Source organism: Homo sapiens, chromosome 18 (assembly GCF_000001405.40).
Source record: "Homo sapiens chromosome 18, GRCh38.p14 Primary Assembly".
In the NCBI taxonomy this organism is placed as follows: domain Eukaryota; kingdom Metazoa; phylum Chordata; class Mammalia; order Primates; family Hominidae; genus Homo; species Homo sapiens.
In genome coordinates, this window is record NC_000018.10 from 55222185 (window position 1) to 55245539 (window position 23355).

The 23355-nt window shown below is 37.9% G+C and overlaps 1 protein-coding gene across 46 annotated transcripts in view, besides 2 other annotated features; it reads right to left on the reverse strand.

Annotated features, from left to right (window-relative positions):
* TCF4 (transcription factor 4) overlaps nt 1–23355 on the reverse strand; it is a 413773-nt gene continuing 390418 nt past the window's right edge. For 24 of the 46 annotated variants that reach the window (NM_001243226.3, NM_001369576.1, NM_001369577.1 and 21 more), the window contains 5 exons: nt 12364–12499; nt 10325–10487; nt 6663–6892; nt 6037–6177; nt 1–5846 (listed from right to left, as the gene is read on the reverse strand). In NM_001243226.3, coding sequence (NP_001230155.2) covers nt 6041–6177; nt 6663–6892; nt 10325–10487; nt 12364–12499 — 666 coding nt within the window. In that variant the 3' untranslated portion in view covers nt 1–5846; nt 6037–6040. The remainder of the gene's footprint in view (nt 5847–6036; nt 6178–6662; nt 6893–10324; nt 10488–12363; nt 12500–23355) is intronic. The other 22 variants (NM_001369584.1, NM_001369582.1, NM_001369571.1 and 19 more) reach the window with 3 other exon arrangements.
* Nucleotides 12474–12768: an enhancer, noted in NCBI's record as "tiled region #5538; K562 Activating DNase matched - State 12:CtcfO". NCBI's record gives its function as "activates a minimal TATA promoter and a strong SV40 promoter by Sharpr-MPRA in K562 cells {active_cell/tissue: K562}" and the evidence as "EXISTENCE:reporter gene assay evidence [ECO:0000049][PMID:27701403]".
* Nucleotides 19046–19155: an enhancer, noted in NCBI's record as "active region_13352". NCBI's record gives its function as "activates an Ori minimal core promoter by ATAC-STARR-seq in GM12878 lymphoblastoid cells {active_cell/tissue: GM12878}" and the evidence as "EXISTENCE:reporter gene assay evidence [ECO:0000049][PMID:35858748]".

Sequence of the window (23355 nt, forward strand, 5' to 3'; positions counted from 1 at the left end):
TAAGATTAATGTACCTTTTAATGTGGTCCTCTAAAAGAGAACAATGTTAATAGACACTACACAAGATACTGTAGGGGTGCACAGGCACATTCCCCCCCACCCCTTTTCAGTAGTAGTTATATGATCAAATATAATACTAAAAGACTAAATGCTTGTGGCTCTTTTATATATATTTAAAACACACAGTAAGAACATAAGAACATCTCAAATCATTTAGAAGGTAAAAGGGGGTTATCAACCAAAATCTTTGGAAATTTCATAAAATTTAAATATCTGCAAACAGTCCAACCAAAAACGAAAAAAAAAAAAATCCCAACATTTGGCTATGGAGGGCACTTCACATGTGAACCAAATGGCGTTATAACATTTTCCTTCAACTAGTCACTAAACCCAATTAGAAAGAATACAAGAGCAATATTGGAGACATCCCCAAATACCACGTACTTGATTAGAACATTCTGTTATGAAGCGCTCAGCTACCGCGGGCTTTCCTTTACATTGCATACATTACTTTACATTTCTACAGTGCAATGTTGAAATAGCCTCCAAATTTTGCAAAGTAGATTGATGTCCATTCTACAAAAATATTAACTTACAGTACATAACACTGAATAATTTTAATCTGTACATTTTTTTCCTTCCATGATAGTTGACACACGTCAGTTTGTACAAGTTAGAAAAAAACATCTGGTTGTTTACATCTGGATTAATAGTCAACAGAGGCAACCAGAAGTGGTGGGGCGGATGTAGTTTGAGAAAGTATAAATACAGTGTTAATATTAACTGTAGTTAACAATATTCAGCTTTTAACAAAGTGATACAAAATAAATCATCTTAGATTTTTGACTGAAAAGATCTGAGAATGTTCTGCCAAACAGCCGACCAACTGGTGCAAAAGGTTAAGGCTGACTTGACTTAGCAACCTGCAGCACAACCGAAAACACTGGTGCAGTTCAGAGCTCTTCAAATGCATAGCTTCAGTGTTACACACACATTAATTATATTCCTTCAATTAGTTAATCCTCTAGACAGTTTTCTTTTTGTTTTGCATGCATCCCGTTCCATTTTCATTAAGGGCATCTCTTCCTTGATCAATCATGTGCTTTGCTTTTCAATTTGTTTTTGTGATTTTTTTTGTATGTTTTGTTTGTTAAGCTGTCAATACCTCCAACACTTGGAAAATGAAATATAGATGCGTTTTACTTACAGAAGAGAATCATAGCTATATGGACAATGCAAAATGAAATGAAACAAGTGTCAGAAACAGTTTATAAAAATGGCACATTTATTGCTACAGAACGGTCATGTACATGACTTCATCGAATAACTACAGATGGGAAACAGGTAATGGCCTTGACCAAGCTGGGTTTGTTTTTGTCTTGAAGGAACTCCAGCACACAACCTGTTTGGACACTTCTACAAATCAGAAATACACCAAAAACATGAAAAAATCGAGGCACTCAGCCACACATTGAAAACAAGGTGTAACTGTTTATCTTTTTTTTTTTTTTTGAAATGTTTTCCCTTTTTTTTTTTTTAACAATTTTTTTAAGTTTTTAATGCTGCAGCTATGTGTACAGTCGCAAAAAATTTCCCCGCTGCGACCTACAACTAAAAACAAAAACAAAAACAAAAACAAAACAAAAAACAAACAAAAAAGCTACCCATACAGTTTCATCTTGGTAACACATGGTAAAATAACATCTTTTAAATAGTAAAATAAAGTAACAAACTTTTACTCATAATGATTCCAAAAATCTACAAAGAAGAAATATTCAGAATCTGACAATTTTTTTGTAATATTCATGGTATAAAAGGATTGCTCCTGCGAAAAATAAGCCAAATATATTTTTTATTTTTAAATTTAGTTTTTTTTTTTTCCTACTAGGGTGTACTACAGTCTATTTTATAGCAAAAGAGCACTAGACAAACAAAGCTTTATAACAAAAAGCCAGGCACTGATACATGGTAAATCTCTGCTTTTTTTTTTTTTTTCTTATCTTCACTTAATTGCATCACAAGTAACAAGAATGAAAAAGGCCACAGTTCATATATTTTCACCATTACATATGTCTATAATACTTGAAATGAGTATGGCAAAACCAGCACTGCACAAAGATGAGTCCACTTCAAGTCCCATGAGAAAGAGCATGTCTCTAAAGAAAAACAAACAAAACCAAAGCAAAATAAAAAGAGAGGCCTAAAGGCCTTGGTGCCCCATTGTGTTGGAATTCATCATATTCCATCTTGACTTTTTTGCTTCCAGTCAGCCAGCAGACTAAATTTTTGTGCTTGTTTATGCTGAAATTGATTCATTCCTGACTCAAGTTCACTTTTGGACACAGATCATATTCTGCCTGTTGGATGCAAAAGATGAAAATCCTCTTAACTCCAAGTCTTGGTTCGACTCCCTCCCCACTCCCCAACCCCTCATCAAAATCAAGATCACAAATAAAAAAAAAAATTCAGAAATAGGAAAAAGTGAAAAATAAAAAGGAATCGGAAGACTGAATCAGAACCAGTTGCACCACTGGGTGGACTGACAGTTGTATAAACATTAGTGTTCCTTGCAGCTACACAGAAGACAAATGGTAAAAATTTCTAGATGAACAGATCCCTATTCTGCATATTCATAAATTACTTGAATGTGGAGGTGGATCAACTGCTCCAAGTTGCTTTTAAAGTCCGAGTTTCTGAAAGAGATCCCCAGCCTAAGTGTCGTCATACAGATAGCGTAGTATGGACCCTTTTGAAATTTTTGTATAGTACTTTAATCTTAACTGTCTTCTGCTGAACTTCATTTGAAAATCCAGTGCAGGATACCAATATCTTACCTGGGTTTGATAATTACAAAACAACAACAATAAAAAACACACTAAAAAGGCCACATTCCCTTTTTTTCTTTTTTAATGGGGATACAACCCAATTAATATGGATAGGTGCAGATTATGTTTCTCCACCAAGCAAAACCTAGCGAGCAGCTTTCAGTGGCCGTTAGAATTTTCACTTATTTCCAAAGGGAATTCAACAATAGAGGTATTGCATTACTGAGTAATGAATACATCAAAGCTGGTGAACAATAAATTGCAGCTTTTACTCTGAGTGAGAACAAAATATAAAGCACCAATTTAAAAAATAATCAAATGACTACAATTTACTTTTTTGCTTTGTTTACAGATTTGAAAAACTTTAATTCAGCTCTATTAAGCACCTTTATGATAACATGTATCAAAAGTGCCATTCTTAAAATGTACATCAATGCAGGGAGTGTTTCCAGTTCCCTAAAGAGTAAACACCGTATTTTCTTCTGTACACTTATCCTGAATGTGATCAGAGTATACCTGCTTCCTATATAATATTGTTCCTAGGGATACCCGCCTTGGTAGACTATACAAAATGAGTGCAGAATGTACCACTAAAAGGAAATCTTTAACATACGGAGGGAACAAATACACATGGTTTTCATTATTCAGGGAGGAGGAGAGAGTATACATTATTGTCTTCCATGTCCTTCTCTGAGCCTCTTTGTTCATACATTTCACAGGAAAGCCCCAAAATAACTTTTCATGAAGTTTGATTTCTGCTATTCTCCTAAGGTTTTAATCCACCTCCACATTTTAGGAACTTATCAACAAATCAAAGTTATTTTAGTTTTATCGCTACTGAACATATTTACAGTTTTTCAACACACACACAGCTAATCAAAATGTTTATGGGTTTGTAAAAGATGACCACGTGGTAACTATCTTATTTGTTCTTACATTTTCAGAAATGAACATAAAATTCTGATTCTTGTAGCTATTTCATTTAAATGAGACTTCTTTTTAAACCACAGTTTTTAAAAAAAAACAAAAACTGATACAATGTATTAAAACACATAATAACAAGAGTCTACATGTAAAAATATAACTTTTACATACACAATTTCAAAATAATGATACGTTTGCCATTTGTTGCATAAAATTTACAAATGTATTTCATTACTATATAACTGGCAAAACAGGAGAACAGATGGAACATTTAGACCATTTCAATGGATTTATGGCATTTACTCAGTGCTGATAGGTGGAAAAACTACTTGAACAGGGATTTTTTTTTTTCTTAATACATGCCAAGAATTGTGTGGCTGTAAAAATAGAAACAAGTTAGAGACAAAAGGATGCTGACAAATACTTAACTAGGAGCACTATTTGTTTACTGCACTATACACCAAAGTCAATCATTATAAAGATTCACGATGGAAGTTGGTTCAATTGTGCCCAGACGTCAAAGCTAGCTATCTGATGAGTCGCTGTGCCATAGCTTGATCTATGTTTCTATCAAATATGGTAAGTATAAACTTCATTCATACTGGCCAGAGAAATACTGCACTACCCCTCCTCAAAAAAGTGCAACTTAATGCTTTAGGACTTATAAGGCTTGTTATAATGCTGCATGATGATTGAATATTGGCATTTTTCAGACGAAGGAGGAGGCAGTTAAGTCATCTACATTTTAGTAAACCCATTTTGAAAAAAAAAATCAAGAAAGCAACAAAATCAATCAGCTCTGTCACACTACTTGCAATTTTCTCATTTGACGGTTTTTGAACTTTACTTGTTTTTTTTGTTTTTGTTTTTTTCCAAAAATCTGACCATGTATTCAGAAACGCCTCACTGCACACTACTTCGGCTACACAGGTAGGTAACACTTTAATCATTTTGTTAAATCACAGCCACTTTGATTATGTTATGTTTCCGATGATATAAACATTGGAAGGCACAGTGGTAACATTGTAGCATTCTAACCTTGTACCTCTGAAAATCCCAGAATAGGTTCACAAACGCAACATTACAATTCAGACAAACTCTTTTTGCCATGTCTTGGTAATGCTGCTTGTAATATCTACACATGATGTGACTTTTAAGTCCTGTGTTCCCAAAAGACTGGAGAAACAACTTTCTACTTATTTATGAATGAGAAGCAACATCAGGGTCAGCATTTCATCCTGCACTACCCCTCTGGAAGCAGAGTTGGCACTACAGGTTACGATAACAAACCAGGGAAAGGGACAGAAATAAGACCAAAAAAAAAAAAATCCATATTTACAGTAAAATCTTTCTTTTAAAAAAGTTAATCAGTACTATTTTTTTACAGGAGAAAAAAGTCTGAAACAAATGAACAAAAGCTTACCATAGTCACTAAATTTTTAATATATATTTATATATATATTTATATATATATTTGTCATAGGTCTATAAGATCCATCTGTTCCTCCTACCCTAAGGAATGGCTAATGTCATCACTTCGTTGTCATCAGGACGTTTGCTGGTTTTGTTACTAGGGCAGCCGAGCTTCCCCTAATTCAATATCCAGTAATTATAAACACTAGCTGACTTGAATACCAACAAAAACGTTCATGTAGTTTTCTTCAGAAGTACACTTTTTCATTATTGCAAGTTTACAATTTTTTTTAAATTAAATATTTTTTTTTCAGACTTACAAATTAATTATATTTTTTTTTTCCAAAAGAAGTTTAGGCACAAATGCATTGTTCCACAGTGTGGAAAGATTGCCGTTCAGTCTCTGGGCTGTGTCTCAGCCTGTACATACTGCTTTGCACATTCTGAATGATATGTTAAAGAAAGTCGTCCCTCAAGTTGCACTTTTTTCTTTCTTTTTTTTGTTTTTCTGTTTTTTGATAATTGGGAATGCTGAAACCTCTTGCGTCTGCGATTCATAACTACTCAGACTTGTCTTATATTACAAAAATGGGGGTTAAGGAGAAGTGTTTATGTGGGTTTAAGATAATACAGCTGTTAAGGAAGTGGTCTCTTGTTTTAATGAAGCAATGTGGCAACTTGGACCTGAGAAAGGAAAAAAGAGAGAAAAAATTCATTAATATATTTGTAACAGAAAAAGTATGCTTTTTTTAAAAAAAATTCTTTTTCCATGAAAGAAAATATCTGTCAATTTGGGTGAAATTCACTTTTATGGCTGATACACTGATGAGAGTTTTGAATGATCGATCTCAGAAATGGCTGAAAACAAACTTGCCCTTTTACATCTGTCCCATGTGATTCGATGCGTCTCCCATTCCAGGGTGTGGGCCGGCCAAGGAGAGAGGGGGAGGCTCTGAGGACACCTTCTCTTCCTCCCTTCTTTTCAGACACGCAGCTTTCGGATTCAGATTCCTTTCTGTGGAGGATTAAAGCACAGAACCTTTGTTTAATGCTGAGGCTTCTGGCAGAGGGCAGCAATGCACTCTTCTTGCGTGTCTGACCTTTTTCTCAGTGTTTATATTACAGAACAAAAGGAACAGTTACTAAGTACTGTGGCAATCCATTTGGTCAGTCACTAGTAAAAGGTGAACTGCATGTGAGTGTGTACAGCCACTTTACAGTAAGCAAAGGTTGGTAAAGCAAATAAACTAAGCTCAAATTACTGAAAGGATATAGGGAAAGTTGCAATATAATCTTAGTTATAAGAGAATCCCACAACTTAATTACAGGAGAAAGGGATGCTGCCTTATGGATTTAGACACAGTCTGCAATGGAAACAATTCTTTGGAATGATGCTTGAAAGTCTACTGTCTGCCACTGCTCAAGACTGGCGTGCCCATCTCAGCTTGTGCCTGCCACAAGCTCCTCACGAGCTCTGCAAGGAGGCTGGCCTGCACTGACCTCGGACTTGCTGCTCCAGACTGAGGATGACGGCCACCGCCTGGTGGAGGATCAGGAGCTTGGTCTGGGGCTTGTCACTCTTGAGGTGGAGCTGCACCATGCGGCCGAGCTCTTTGAAAGCCTCGTTGATGTCACGGACCCGCAGACGCTCTCGGGCATTGTTGGCCATCCTCCGCTCCTTCTCACGCTCTGCCTTCTGCTCTGGTGTCAGGTCCTCATCGTCATTATTGCTGTGGGACAAAAGGGATGCAACATTTTCTAATGGTGTGGGGAAAAAGAAGGTGTCTACATTACTTTGTTTTCTTCCAGAGTTTTCAGGGAACTTTTCCATCTTATGCCATGTTTTTGGCAGAATTTTTATATCCACTTGACCTTGGGATTGGTTTAGATGGCTTTGACAGTTCACAATACACAAGATATTTGGTTTTCTCGCAGACATTAAACCCAAACCAAACAGGTGAGGGTGACGTAGATTAAAGTTAGAGTGCAGGGTGTGCCCATACTGATACAGGGGGGCAGAAAGGGAAAACAAAGCTTTTTTTATTCAATGGGGTTACACTCTGCAAAGCAGGCATTCACCAACTTACGCCTAGCATATGTTGCATAACCACGCTTCAAAAAGACTTTATGTTTATACTTTATTTTTTAAATATATATAAAACCTTTCATACCGTGACATCTGAAATCTAGGGGAAACAAGTAATTGAAAAATGATTTTGATAGGTCAAAAAAATACAAGGCAGCTTAACAGGAGTAAGAAGAAAGGCCTATATGTAAGACACCAGAGCAATGGGAGTGAAGACAGTGAGGCTTTTATTCAGGTGTCCCCATTACCTTGCTTTGAAGGCCTGGTCAACCCACTATGTGAGTCTCATTTTCTCTATGTATTAAACAAAAAGTTACAAAAACATGACTTCCATGGTCTTTAATCTTATAGATGTTTATGATCCACAGAACAAGTTTGGGAAACCTGAACTGATATCAGTCATGCAAAACGATTCAACAAACCAAACACCTGCAGCTTATGAATGACCATGACCTCATTGTGAGTCAAAAATGAAGCCAGAAAGCTGGGTGCAGTGGCTCATGCCTATAACCCCAGCCTGGACGATATAGTGAGACCTCGTCTCTACAAAAAATAAAAAAAAATTAGCTGGGCACAGTGATGCACACCTGCGGTCTCAGCTACTCAGGAGGCTGAGGTGGGAGGCTCACTTGAATCTAGGAGGTGGAGGCTACAGTGAGATGTGATCAGGCCACTGCACTCCAGCCTGGGCAACACAGCCAGACTCTGTCTCTTACAAAAAAAAAAAAAAAAAAAAGCCAAAAGGTAATTTCTAATTGTGAAAACCAAAATATTCCATGATTCATAACAAATGCATGGCCGGGCCCAGAATAGTCTGAAAAGATAAGATCGGTTCTGTCCATTTCTGAGTGTTACAGTGACAAATTAGAAACTTTTGAATGGAAGGCAAAGAGGATGATGAGCCACCTGGAAAGCATATCATATGAGGAAGTCGTCACAGCAGCAGGGTTCAAATATTCCAAGGGCTGTCATGTAAAAAAGAGAAGTGTGCACGACGTCTTGTCTCAAGAAGGCAGAGCAGCACGTGCTATAAAGCTCTGAATGACTATTGTGAATAAACATGAGTGAGGACTTTTGGGGGGCTTATGAGAGACACAGAAAATGAAACAAACTTCACTGAACATCAGTAGACTCCCCATCACAAGAAACTCCATGGAAGTGACTAACAATTAACCTAAAGGGTAATTTCACACATTGGAAATGTTCACAGAATAAAGATGATTAATCACAACATTTCGGAGTTGGAAGATGTGGGAAATTATCTACTCAATTAAATGTATATTTAATGAATGCTGGTTTAAAATATATGACTCTGATGTTCCATTTTGGAGAATCTCTGGGTAACTTCCAAGTGGCAATAAGGACCAATTACACTTGAGAAGCTCCAATCAATCAAAAGTGGGAGTGGTATTCTTCGGTTGCAAGTATACGTTACACATAAAGATAATGCACGTAAGTCAAGAACACTTGGGTGAAGGAGAAAAGTTAGGGGCAAGGAGGATGACACCACAGAAGGATGCTGTAAGACCAGGCTCCTCTCTCTCCATAGCGTAAGCGCCTTTCCAGATGGCACTGTCTGCCACAGGTGTGTATGGTAAACATGGAAGTCAACTGAGTCCACTGGAAAAGGCCCTCTTTCTCTGCCTTCTGCGGATCCCTCCTCTGCCCTCACCCCCAACTGCTGCCAGTGCCAAGGAAATCAGTAATGATTAATTCACTCCTATATTCTACTATGCAAATAGGCTGTAAAAAGCAAATGAAAACAGTCTCTGCCAGGCCTGTCCGGAAGCTGAGCATTTGGGTGATATTTTTATACATCCAACAAATGCTACACCTTACACAAAGGAGACTGGAAAATAGGAACTTTTCTTCCAAAGATTTTCAGGCTAACGACCAATTAGAATTGGTTATTCACTTACAAATAAACTAGTTATGCAAATAAAACTGCCTAGATTTGAAAAAGCACTGCCTTATAATACAGTTTTGGAGGCATACATAAGTAAATGTCATAAGAGTGACCTTTTTAAATAAGAAGGTTCTCAACAGCGAATGAAAATGTTGTTCCAAAACTTCAAAGAATCCATTAACATGCATAAGTTTGGCCACAATAAGTTAAATTACCAAGAACTGACTGGTCTAACACAGAAGCTGCTAAAGGTATGAAATCCCCTCCTTGGGATTTCTTGCCAAAGTGGCCAAGAATCAGAAAAAGACAACAAGGAAGGAAAGGGGTTATCTAGAAGTATTCGGCATTTTTAAACTTGTGGCAAGACACGGAATTTATCTCAATAATTACAACAGCAACATAAAGAGGCAGCATGTTCTTAATTCACAAAAGATTCCAGATAGAACCTTGAGAACCACAGCCTTTAGAAGGAAAGCTGTAGTCTTAGGACAATTGGTTGAATTTGTGAATAAAAACAACCTCAGGGAATTGAGGCAAAGTACACGGGTGTTGGTATTCAAAAACCATCTGATTACCAGATTAAAGTTCAAGGAGATATAGATTTGAATTTAAAGATAGCAGATATTTAAGAAAACCAGACAGAAGCTATTTTCCTGCAGTTGTGTTTTCTGTAGAAAAGAGTGTCCAGGAAGAAAAACCATAAACAATTAAGGTATTACTCTTATATACATCAGCATGTTTAGGATAAATCTAGGAAATTATTTTCTTACTTTAGAGGTAAGAAAAGAGTTATAGTTGGCACATACATCAGTTGAGTTTTTAACATGGCTACAATCTCTTTTTAGAAATATTATAGACACAACATTTCTGACCAAATTTGTAGAATAAGTATAGTTTTACAAATAAACTGTACTTGAATCAGAGACAAATTTTTTCACTGTGTGTCATTAGCATTGGGTCCAGATTCATAAATGCCAAAACAGTTTAGGCTCCAATAGAGTACAGGTATCTGAAACGATACTTTTAGTACTTCTAGAGTAGGCCTTTAATTTTCTTTTCAGCTGTAAATTTACCTGCCAGGAAAAAACTGAATAGTTTCTTCCCGTTCTGTTCACTTCATCAAAGTCCAATAAAGGAATTAAATGAAGCGACAGTATTATATACTGTTACCTAGATCTTGACCTAGTAATTGATTTGATATCCTTCTTGTCGTCATCTAATTTCTTGTCCTCCGAAGATTTCGTGTCTTGCAGGTTCTCATCACCCTCGTCATCGGATTTGATCTCAGAGCTGCCAGAGGAGACACTCTGCCCCTGTAGTCCTGGTGGCATGCCTGCCGAAAAAGAGAAATCAGGTGACATGTACACCACAATCTCACTGCCTGCACACCAGATTGCAAGGCTGCCAGCAGACAATTCATACTGCTGAACTGTGATCCTTCTGTCACTTTTTTTTCCCCCTGCTATCTGTTGAAGTTTCAAAAAATGCACCTGCAGAAACAAGTTTTCCCTGCATTGGCTCTAAGGTTAAATTCTATTTTGCAATCTTTTGGAGTAGATGGTAATTTCACTGTCTACAAAACATCAACTTAATTGCAATGAAAATCATAATCATGAAAATCACACAGCCAATGTTCTGATTAAGAACCCAAGTAAATATCAGCTATTATATTGAGTTTCTTCCATATGCAATGATTTAATAGAAAAATGTCCTTAAAATATAATTCCCAGGGAGTATGCTAAATATGTGCAGTCAAGACTTCAATAGGTACCCTAATGATATTCTGAAATTAGGCTTCTCTTATTCTCAAGAAGTAATCAGCATTTTAAAATGGTACATATGGAAGGCAGTTTGCTACTCATTTTAGAAATTTCTAGCTTTATCATTGCTCAACTTTCCAAGTCACACTGCATTTTAAAACACGACCCTAATGTAGTAATTTTTTTAAAGGTAGAAGCATATCTGTCAAGTATTCCTCTTTATTTGTAATCTGTGTATTCTAGAACCTTGCCACTCAAACTTTGGTCCATGCGGCCTCATCATCTGTGAGCCCATTAGAAATGGACAATCCCAGACCTACAGAAGTGGAATCTGCATTTTAACAAGATGCTCAGGTTGTGCTTATGTGCAGTTTGAGAAGCACAGGTTTAGGACAAAGAGGGCAAAATCCAAAGCCTCCTGATAAGAAAGGTCCTGGCCAGTTGTGGTGGTTCACACCTGTAATCCCAGCACTTCGGGAGGCTGAGGCGGGTGCATCACTTGAGGTCAGGAATTCAAGACCAGCCTGGCTAATGTGGTGAAACCCTGTCTCTACTAAAAATACGAAAAATAGCCAGGCATGGTGATGCATGTCTGTAATCCTAGCTACCCCCTGGGAGGCTGAGGCAGGAGAATCGCTTGAACCTGGGAGGTGGAGGTTGCAGTGAGCTGAGATCGCACCACTGTACTCCAGCCTGGGCGACAGAGTGAGGCTCTGTCAAAAAAAAAAAAAAAAAAAGTCCATAAAATGATTATTATTCATAAAAAATGGGCAGACATACCCATACATATAATTGACACTCAGATCTGTACAATGTTGAACAGCTGAAAAAATGCCCACATGTATTCCTGTGGCAATGTTATCATTTTTATATTAAATGTGAAGGGACTGAGAAGATGTTATCTAAGCGACTCCTAGTCAGCTGGCCAGCAATAGCCCAACTTCCTGGGGTCATGAAAAGCCGCTCGTAATCACCGGTATGAGGCAATCATTAGAGGGCTAGATGACTCAAGAGCGAAAATCATGCAACCAAGCTCCATTTTTTAAATGCACCTATATTTCCTTCCATCTTAAACAACAAAAACAATTTCCTTCCTTCCTATTCATTTGGAAATATCATTTTCAGGCCACAACTAACCACATTAGAGGACCTGAATGAGAAAAATGTGGAAATAGCTAAAATAAAATTTCCTCTCATCAGTCTGTGGCCTCATTCCCTGCTGATATAGGACCAGGATTTCAGAGGATGTTTGAGGAAAACAGTCCCTGGAGAAACACAATTAGCGGGCGAAGTTCTAAATACTTTGCCATTTCCTTACCATTTTTGTGCCCAATTTGATTCCTGGGTTTCTGCCAGTGCTTCTTGAGGGATGAACACCAAGAGGCTGGGTATCAACACTGGTCCTATTGTGAAAGTGAGGTCAGAAGTGCCCTGGTGAGGCCAACCTACCTCTGTAAGGGTCCTGGGGTGGGTTCAGGTCAGGGGAAGTCGCAGACTGGACAGGAAGCTGTGGAACCGGAACCTGGTTTGGCAGAAGAGAATGGCTGCCTCTCAGGGCCACGCCATCTTCACGATGGGTCCCCACCTGAAAGGGCGAGAGGAACCAGAGAGGTGAGCAGGAACCGGAGGTGCGACAGCTATTTCCAGAGGCCAAGAGGACCTGATGAAGGCTGGCTTTTCAAAAACCATACTCCCAAACGCGTTTCACTAGAGGGCGCTGAAGGACCGCACATGCACCTATAGTTCCCGGCGAAAACACTTAACACTCAGTAAGATGCCGTGCTGTACATTCAGTGACAAATATGGCAGAGTAGCTCAGGCAGGTAAAACGTCAAATTGCCTCCCAGGGTGCTGCAGTGGAGCGCACTGATTCGTACCCATCTGTCTTCTATCATGTCCGCCAACAGATCTGACAATTATCTTAATGCCCATATGCTTAATTGTGAGCTTCTCAATTCCCCCATTGCTATCGGAAATCCTACAGGAATTTCAATTTGGCATTCGACTTTCATTTCAGGGGATAAGATTCTCAGGCCTGCCATTTTTTTTTTTCCATAATGCCAGCTAAGCCTCTGACAGCGGAAGCTACAGCAGTATGGGACACAGCCTCTGCTTGGTACAAATATAATAAAATGTCACCTGGCTTTCCAAAACTGGCAGCCCATTCCAAATTAATGTTTACTGTATTTCATCAGCTGCTGAGTTCCAAATCCAAAGGGGGATGGTTTCTGCCAATGCCACCACACCGGAAAATGTACCAATAAAGGTTTTATTAAACACACCAGTAATGCCATCATTGCCATGCAAGGAAGGATGTTTGGACATTTTTCCATTTTTTTCCTCACTATTCTGACCCTAGAAAGACACCATATTGTAAATACTCTTTATGCTTCCAAGAATAAAATTATAGAGTACAGCATGATTACTTCATTAAAAAAATACTGCTGAGCTTTTTATTAACTACTACTATCGACTCTGGGGTCCAGAGACATTGAACTTGTGGCACTGAGACAGCAACTGCCTACTTCATAGCACATGCCTTCAAGCGAAAACATGAAGCATTTGTCAACTAAGAGGACAATCAGTAGTTCACATTTTCTTTTCTATTTCCAAGTATTTTCTTAGCCTATGGTTAAGTGAGCATTTACACAGGACGGTGGGTCTAAAACACAAAAAATTAACCATACATTTATACTGCTATGAATCAGGTTTATTTTTTTTTCCAGTCAAAAATATGAAACCAGAAAGGAGAATCATCACTCTTGTGTTACCAATATATTTTAAAAGGGTATTTCCAAAGAATGCATCAACAATAAGTATCTGAACCAACAACAAATTCACAGGACCTAATAAGCACATGCTATTTAAAGGCAGCCATGTATTAAGTATCACCTATAATATTTTGCTTTTTACTGAAAATATATTTAAGTAATTGATCCTGAAGTATGCCATTTTTATATTCATGTGTGCATGTGTGTGTGTGTGTGTGTGTGTGTATGCACTCCAACTTTTTTTTAAATTTTGGGTGGAGATGATCACATAAATCATATTAATTGTTTGGATTCAAAATACAGCAAGAATAAGACAACACTTGAGGCTTATGAGCCTCAGGAAGTATAAATGAATGTTTCAGCAGAGAGATGTAGGAAGTCCAGCACTGCTCCCCGGTGCCTGTGTCGCAACACAGAACTTTCTGAATGGTGGTTATTTGGCCTCTGTGGGGTGCTTCAAATGTACTGAGACTGATATCTCCCAAAGAAGCCCATTCCATTTTTACCACAAATTGGCCTCTTTGTAGATTTCACTCACTGATTCTAGTTTCAGCTTCTAGAGCTCTGTGGCGTTAAGTACAAACCTTTTTTTTTTTTTAAACATATTCAACCCTGTTGCCTGCCACACCACTCCTTTCCTCTGTGACTGAAGTCTGCTCTCTTATAGGCAGACCACGCCCACCTGCTCCAGCAACCATTTGTAACTCACTCTCTTATATATTTTAATTTTTATTCAGAAGCATGATAGCTATTTTCCATTGAGGTTTTGATTTGCTATTTTTATATTCATGCATTAGAAAACGGATTCAATCAATGATTATCCTTTCAATCTAAGATGTCAACTTGTAAGCATGAATTTTTACAGGCCTTGATCAAATGGTGGCTCTTTATGTCTGTCAATCAATATAAACCTAAATAATTCTTCGTGCTGATTCATATTTATTTGTATTCCCAATGGATCTAATTTCTTGAATTTCTACAAAGGATGACTCTAAGTCAAAATCACTGAAGGTAACCACAGATTTGAGCATAGAGGAGAAGTGTACTCCTATTTCAGAATCATTAACACTCTCAAGATTTCTTTGCAAGCATCTGTGACATAACTTAAGAGTAATGTTTTGCTTTTTACTTAAAATATATTCAGTTACTGCTCCTGAAATTTTTTCCCTCTAGATCACATTGAGGTAAGTTCTCAAAAGAGAAAAAGAGAACCCATGCAATCGTACATGACAACTGGTATGTAATAGGTACATAATAACTGCAGACAGAATCATGTGTTTTGACTGAAAATACTTGCATGTTATATAGAAATAATAGCCTGTGTAGTTCAAGAACCCCCTCAAAACTCAAGCTATCTTCAGTTACGGTGATCTTTGTCTCTATTTTGTTAAAATCCATTTAATTTTAAATCTTTCCCCTATACAATGACTGTAAACTCTTAAATATTATAAATATATCTGAGGATATAGTTGTTCCAACTACATTTTTGTTTGGATTTTAGGCCCATATGTTACCTAACTCCATCTATTTTCTATAGATCATCTTAAATAATATCAATCATTTTCCATAAAGAATGTTAGAGACAAAGTTGTTCTGACTTTTTTTTTTTTTTTTTTTGGAGACAGAGTCTTGCTCTGTCACCCAGGCTGGAGTGCAGGGGTGCAATCTCCGTTCACTGCAACCTCTGCCTCCCAGGTTCAAGCAATTCTCCTGTTTCAGCCTCCCAAGTAACTGGAATTACAGGCGCCCACCACCACGCCGGCTAATTTGTCGTGATGTTTTAAGACTCCCCTTGTGTCTATTCCAGGTCATGTGAATGCCCTCTGATAGGTCCAGAGCCATGTAATAATGAGCTTGATTCTCCAGGATAGGATCAACTCCATTGCCTGTGGCTGTGGAAGAGTATTCCAATTTGAATAATTGGCTTGGCTTTGCTTGTTTCCTTGGCCACAGATGGCATATTCTAACCCTGTTTTCTTCTCTTTCAGAAACATTATTTCTGGTCACATAAGAGACAAGGGAAGAAACACAGTGGACTGTCGGCACAAATCCATCGCTAGAATAACACAGAAATAGATGGAGAAACTCACACTGTTCTCTGTATATACAAGGGTCAGGGATTTGCCCACTGGCATTAAGGCGGCCCATTCATAGAATGACCCATGTCTGCTTCAAAATGAGCTGGGGCATCCAATGATCTTGGCATTCTGAACTTAAATACGTCATAATGTGACTAGGAGAAAGGAGATTCCCACAAGTCAATTCTAAGCATGACATTTCGTCCCTATTTTTAGAAAATCCATACTTCGTTAAAGCTCTATTTTGATAACCTTTTCATAGAGATAACAATAGTCTAAAGTTAAAAGCCAGCTTATGAAAATTTTATTAATACTCATTGTAAATGTGAATCTTCCCATAGTCACGTATAATGCAGTTTTAGTGATATCTATGCTAAAAATAGAAGATAGAAGTGAAATTTAAAAATTATTCAATGATTATTCATTGATTGATCAGAGAATGCATTTACTAATTTAACAAACATTTTCTAATCTAGCTCATGCCTGTCACTTTGGGAGACACTGGGGATAGAATGAGAAATAACTCAGATGTGGTCCTGGTTTTTGTGGAACTCATAATGATTCTTGGGGGGATTTTTGTATGCTGATCAATTTAGTGGGGTAGTTTTAATAGTAAGGAAGAGAAACCTATTTGAGTTTGTTCAAATAAAAGATTTATCATAAATAGTTTTCTGTAGCTTAGGTTTTGGACTCAGAGAGCTCTTGGGAACCGAATGCCACTCCTCGCCTCTGCTGGGCTATTCAGCCTCTCTCCTCTCTCTGGGGGGACCTCTGCTTCTCTCTGGCTTCTGCCCTCTCATGATGACAGATTGGACTCTTTCTTCATGATACCTCTTGGTGCATTCTTTCTGGTTCTGTACCTCCTGCTAATTTCCTCTTTGTCTTTGTATTTCTAAGCTCAGAATGCCAAGATCACTGGATGGCCCAGCTCATTTTGAAGCAGACATAGGTCATACTATGAATGGGCCACCTTAATGACAGGCATTTTCCCGGTCCAGAGAGCTACAAACGAGGAAGGGGGGATAAGATCATGTAGTCCAAACACAGGCGGCTTGGCCTGTCCCGTCCACATATTGACTGGTACATGTAGGTGTAAATGTCTGAGTTACATTGTATCTTAGGTCAAATTATATTCAAATTCCAACACAGCTATTTGAATTCTCCTGTGTGAATTTGTCAATGGAAATAATTAAATGTCATTAGATATGCAATAATTATTTTGAATCACGTAAGCACCATATAATTTTAAATAACCTTAGTTTCCAAGAAAGGGCTTGACAAACTGATAGAAACACTTTTAAATCACAGAACTTAGACGTCGAGGGCTTGGAGGACCTTGGTTATATATCAGTTAGGTCAAACTCTTCATTTTACAAAGAAAGCTAAGGCCAAGAATGGTGAAGTGACTTAAGATCCAACTTTCGATGCTTAGTTGGAGATCTAAAACAGATTTTGAACTCAGAAAACTTACAACACTGAACAATTATATAGGAGAGGGGAGGAGAGTTAGGGGGCAAGATGCGTTTATTTCCCAGAGCTTTTGTTTTAAAACAGTGTGTGTGTGTGTCCATACATGTATACACACACCTAGGTACAAGCATATAACATACATATATATACGTACATATATAGATAGAGGAAAATCATTTCCTTTTTCTTTATTGCAGGGGGAAAATCATAGTTCATTAACTCAGGCCAAGGCCAAGATGTCTAACTAAATTATAAAATTTAATATTTGCCACGATCCCTCCAACATAAACAGATTTAAAAGACATGCAGATTCAAATTAGGTGGCTGTTGGCAAGGCTGTTTTTATATGGAGATGCATTCAGCATTGTGGTAAATATCCTTGTCCTTATCCTCTAGCTAACAACAAACACCACAAACAAAAAAGACATTCAATATTTTTGCTCTCTTTGTTTCCAGGGAGTATTGTGAAAGTAATTATTCTGTTGTATTTAAGAGGCCTATTTCATGGATGGGAAAATGTATTAAATTTCATTTGGCAGTTATTCAATCCTAGTTAATGTTATCTCCAGAGATAACTGCTTCAAAACAGGCTTTCAGACCTCAGTCACTTCTATTCTACCATAATCCTTCTAAAAGAGTATACAATGGGAACTTTAGGAAACTTGTCATCAGTTTCTAGACCAAGTGATAATGACACAAAACTGGATATACTATTATAAACATTTTGGTACATCAAAATTAAAGTTTGCTATTAATGGCATCTGGTTTCCAATTTTGGACATAGATTTTTTTGGTTTTTAGAAAGAAGAACAACAACAAAATGGGACAAAGACAGAAGTCCTGGTAACTGCAACTTACTGTTACTTTTCTCTGTTGTTTTTCCATTAACACAAAAGAAAAGCTGATGGGTTTTCACTGTAATTAGAAACCCATTGATACAGAAAACAGTTTTGGTGTCTGAACTGTAATCTCCCCATGAAATATCAATTATACATGACAGTTGTAGAGTACTAGATTTCAGTTTCAATTATCTTGCCAGACCTCTGTCATATTAGAGGAAAGCAAACTTATTTTCTCAAATGTGCAAAACACCATTTAGTACAAAAGTGCATCTTTTAAAGAGGTGGGAAGCGGTCATGCAAACTTTTTTAATGGCTCACAGATGGGAATTAGGAAGTTCATGGAATGGCAGCAGTAGATAGATACTGTGAGGAACAACACTAGAGGCACAGAGGCTCTGCAGAAAACAAGACCTACCTCTAATAACCACCTGTTGTGGGAGAAAGAGCTAACATCTGGGACACTCCAACCACAAACATAATTTCCATATTTCTCAGTTTAAAAAATTATCAGATGATTTTTCTTTAGTACATGTGATTAAACCTTTAAGAGACTTTTCATTAACATCAGATCTGGATTCAATTCTTTTGTTTGGATTTTTACTTGATTCTTAACATGTATGTCGGGAGAAGATTTCATAACTGTCTTGAGAACACCTACATTGTTTTCCAGAAACATCACAGCTTCTCTTATGTTCTGTATGAAATGTAAGGTAATTCCTTATTGTGCAATTCTTGGAGATTTATTTAATATTGATTCTCCAGATAATAAAGTAATTTTCAAGAGGATTTAAACATGATCTAAATGATCCTGACCTTGGCAGTGCTTGTCTATCATATGATCAGCTGGGCTGAAACTCCCCTGGATGTTCACCAAAATGGTTAAATGAATGATTCTATGATATAGTTCAAGAAATGCAAACGGATGTGAGCCGACCTCAGTTCATCTTTCTTGTACTAACTCATACGTTCCATCTATTAAAACTGTTTCATTTCTCTCTTCTGTGTCCCACACCCTCAATTCTCGACATCATTTTCCTATACAGTGGAAACCATAACTGGAGAGAGCTCACCTAGCGGGGACACTGGCAGATTAACAGAGCCCATTCCTCTATCTCTTCCTTGCTCCACATAGCAGGCTAGTAAGTAGATGGTATGGAACTAAAGTTAATCCATCCTAGTGAACCAAACATATCTAGCACAGAGAATATGGTGAAGTCTAGCAATTATGTGTAAACAGCTTTTGTTTAAAGGAAAAGACAACTGGACACTTGATTTACACTTGGAATTCTGAATGCCTGAAGTGCAAGCATACCTGTGAGAGTGCACAGTCATGCTGCTGACCTCCACACAGTTTTTAGCCAGTCCAGGTGGCCCATCCCTAAGGATCCCTAGGGATTTACCATTACCCATTGGCCTTTATTTCTTAAATGCTTTTCTTGTTATTCAAGTAACACATGCTTACTGTAATATATTTGAAAAGAGAGTAGAAGTATAAAGAAGCTCACCTAAACGAATGAACCATTTCTTCCCCATCACTTTCCAAATACTCATCTTTTAAATGCAATATTCTCTCTCCATCAGTTGATGCAATATTAAGGCTTCAGCCTGGCTCTTGCTTGCTGTATGGATCCAGTCTAAGAGGTCCACCTTGTGCTGATGCATCCTTCACCTAGACTCCCAGGACCAATGCAGTTCCCTCCTATTTTTAAATTCCTCACTATCAATGTTCAATTACCTACGCATGGCCTCTCATCTGCTGGGTTAACGCCCACATCACTAAGGCTTGAGCAAAGCCCTCCCTGCTCTGTCTGCTGGGCTAGTTTTTTCCTCCTAACTCACCAACTGCTTCTCTTTTATTAGCCTCACAGATCCCCTCACTCTCTGACCCTTCAGGGCTGAGTGGATCTCCAGAAATCTCCACTTTCTTGTCACCTCACGAGCTCACTATGCATTACAGACACCACCCTTAAAACACATTCAAGGTCATTGTTGAATGGTGCAGGGCATAAACTTCAATAAGTTTGTTTTGCTGCCATTCGTAAAGCCTATACTTGTCTCCATTTGTGGGCATCCCATCCCAAGGACAGGAACTGCACAGGTCACTGCACGGGAGTGTAATAGTACAATGTGCAGTTAGATGCTTAGCAAATGATGACACAAATGCTATGGATCTGTGAGACTATGTCTGAAATTTAATTGTTTGATATTGCCAAATATACATTTAGCATGTTTCTATCAAATAAACATTTCACTTAATTTGACAAGCGCCTTATGAAAGTGTACTATATGCAAGGCACTACATGGGCATTTGCAAGGAAAAATAAACACGTCTATGACTTTGCAGGCACTGATTTTTTTTTTTTTTTTTAAGATGGAGTGTTGCTTTGTTGCCCAGAAAGGAGTGCAGTGGCATGATCTTGGCTCACTGCAACCTCCGCCTCCCGGGTTCAAGCGATTCTCCTGCCTCAGCCTCCCCAGTAGCTGGGATTACAGGCGTGCACCTTTACGCCCAGCTAATTTTTGTATTTTTAGTAGAGACGGGGTTTCACCATGTTGGCTAGGCTGGTCTCGAACTCCTGAACTTGTGATCCTCCCGCCTTGGCTTCCCAAAGTGCTGGGATTACAGGCCTGAACCACCGCGCCTAGCCCAGGCACTGATATTTTAATGATGGGATAATATTACTATACAAGGCAAAATACGATGAATGTCATAAAGGAGTACAAGGTCATGTAGGGTTTTAAAAAATGATGAAGTCATACCCGTTTAGGAAACCAGGGACTACTTTAAGAAGAACATGACATTTTAGGCAGGTTTTGAGTGATGGGTCGAATTTTGATATAGATTATCCAAATATATTTTTAAAGAGCTGACGCTTAACACAACTAAATAATATCCCAAATTTAAGTGAAAATTTCATTTTATATCAATAAGTGGCATGATTTAGATACTGTGTATGTGTGAAGAAGCAAGCAGCTAAGGACTGTGTGTTAACATGTGTTTTCATATTGTCAGACTACATATTTCTGACAAAAAGCAGATTTTTGTAAAGCCCTTTGTAAAGCTCAATGGCTTTGCTACAAAGTGAACAACACAGGGCATTTTGGACACAAATGGTACCTCACTGTATGTGTGTATTATTGGCCCAAATGATTCACTCTTATTTAATTGCCATGAAGTCTTTCATCTCGCAGCTATACAGTAATAGTTTCCATATGACCAGTGGCTCTGCTATAAATAAGATCAAAAGCAGAAGAAAGGATTTAATAAAAGAAAATGACATTAAGAGTAGCATTAAATCAGGGGAAAAATACCTATATCCAACTCGTTTTTTGTTTGTTTGTTTGTTTGTTTTTTGAGAATAAAGCACCCAGAGTACTAGGCAGTTTCCCCAATATCTCATGAAAGGTCTTTTTGCAAGCAGTAGGTATCTGCAGAACCCATTGTGTGCACCTTAGAGTGGCAATGATTAAGTTGTGAGGGTACGTGTGAGGGGTAGAGGGCAGAGTGTCCCATTTAGAGTCAGGTTGGAGAACAGGTAATAGACCAAACGGCAAATTTCACATGGTAAAGAGTACAACTGCAATGTGTCAATGGCAAACGTTCACCCATTTCTCTGTCCTTTTCTGTTCTATTTAATGGAGAAAGACTTTTTGGTAATTCAGAGTTTCTCAGAGAATCATAACATTGCTCAATGCTAGTACATGAGTTCTGAGAAAGGAAGTTTTTTTTGGCAAAGCACAGTGACTTGATATGAAAAGCCAACTTCCCAAACAAATTTTCTTCTAGTTCTTAAAAAAAAAGTACAATGTTAATCTCTATTCCCGACTGGATAAACAGCTGCTAATAACCTCCAGCTCCCAGGGGAGGAGGCTTACTTCCTTTCATCTTCAGACTGGTGGATACCTGACGTGCACTGGCCTTTAGTGGTTCCACATGTTTTTTGCTTTGCTTTTTTTCCAGACTGCTTCGGTACGGGTCTTGCCAAGTCGGGTCTCTTTTCCCCCTTTCCCTTAGATTGCATCCAAAACCTTGGAAGATATAGTCAGTTATGGTACTGCTTATTTGAAATAGTAGTTCTTTTACTGTTGGTGTGTTTAAAGAGGAAATTCAAACACCCAAAGGAGACTAGAGCGCCTTGGGCTCTTGTATCTTGAAGCCCTGTGAGAAAAATGACCATTTTAGTTCCTTTCATACTGAGCTAATTATTCACTTGAGGGCTGGCTATGTTCAAAAATACTCAATTTCTAGTAGTATTGCTAGTGCACTTACTTATTAATACTTATAGCCGTGTCCTAAATAAAGGAGCAAACTTCAACACTTTTTCTTCTAATAGGAAGTGCCCTGCAGAAGATTCCAGAGCCAGTCGGCCTCTGAAGTCTTTCTCACTTGCTCTTAAGCACCTGCTTTAATGGTGACCTCAGTTCTATATCTCAAGGTTTAGACATTTTGCAAAACAGCTTTTTAAACAAATACCAGCTGTTTCCCATCTAGACTACAGGGGGAAAATTTTGGGCAGCTTACAGAAACATTACCCAGAGACTACCATTCTCCAATAACTTTCACACACTTTCAGCTCCAAAAGAGACCCGTCCGTGTGCAGAAGCCAGGGAGAAGGCAAATGTGAAATTAAAATGTGGAAACTCAATACCGTGGTTTTTGACAATGTGTCCAATTAACTGCTTTAAAATGAATGTGGCTATTGTATCAGGACAATGCTTCCCTAAAGATGTCATTTCACTAATATTGGACAGATCTTTTGGTTAAACTCAACTTTATAGTTCTAAGATGATTTATGGATATAGAGGAAGCTATAATTATGCACAACTGTGAATGTCAACCAAATAGGTAGAACCCTCGCATTACAGAAAATGTAATGCTACAGCTTTTTTTCAGTTCTCACTCCTAAAGCTGCTTTGCCTAAACCCTCTTCTTACTATGAACCCATTTTCAACTTCTGTTTTCTAAGCAATTAAGATACTTTTGATTTGAAAAATTTACAGCCATAATAAAAGTTAAAATAACACAACGGCCATGGAATGTGAAAAAATATAAAATGGCCAAGGCCTAATCTTGGCTTTTAAACAGTGCCAAGTTGCTCCAGTATTTTCTGTTTTGGTATGAATGACATAACTGAATTACTTCATGAGTTGCTACTTTAATTCCTAAGGGTGGAAAATTCCATGAGTTAACTTAATTTGGATGTAAAAAATATACATGAAAGCTCGCTCTTCCTGTGGACTCTCATGTGAAATATTCGAGCCAACTGCTGGAGCTGCCGT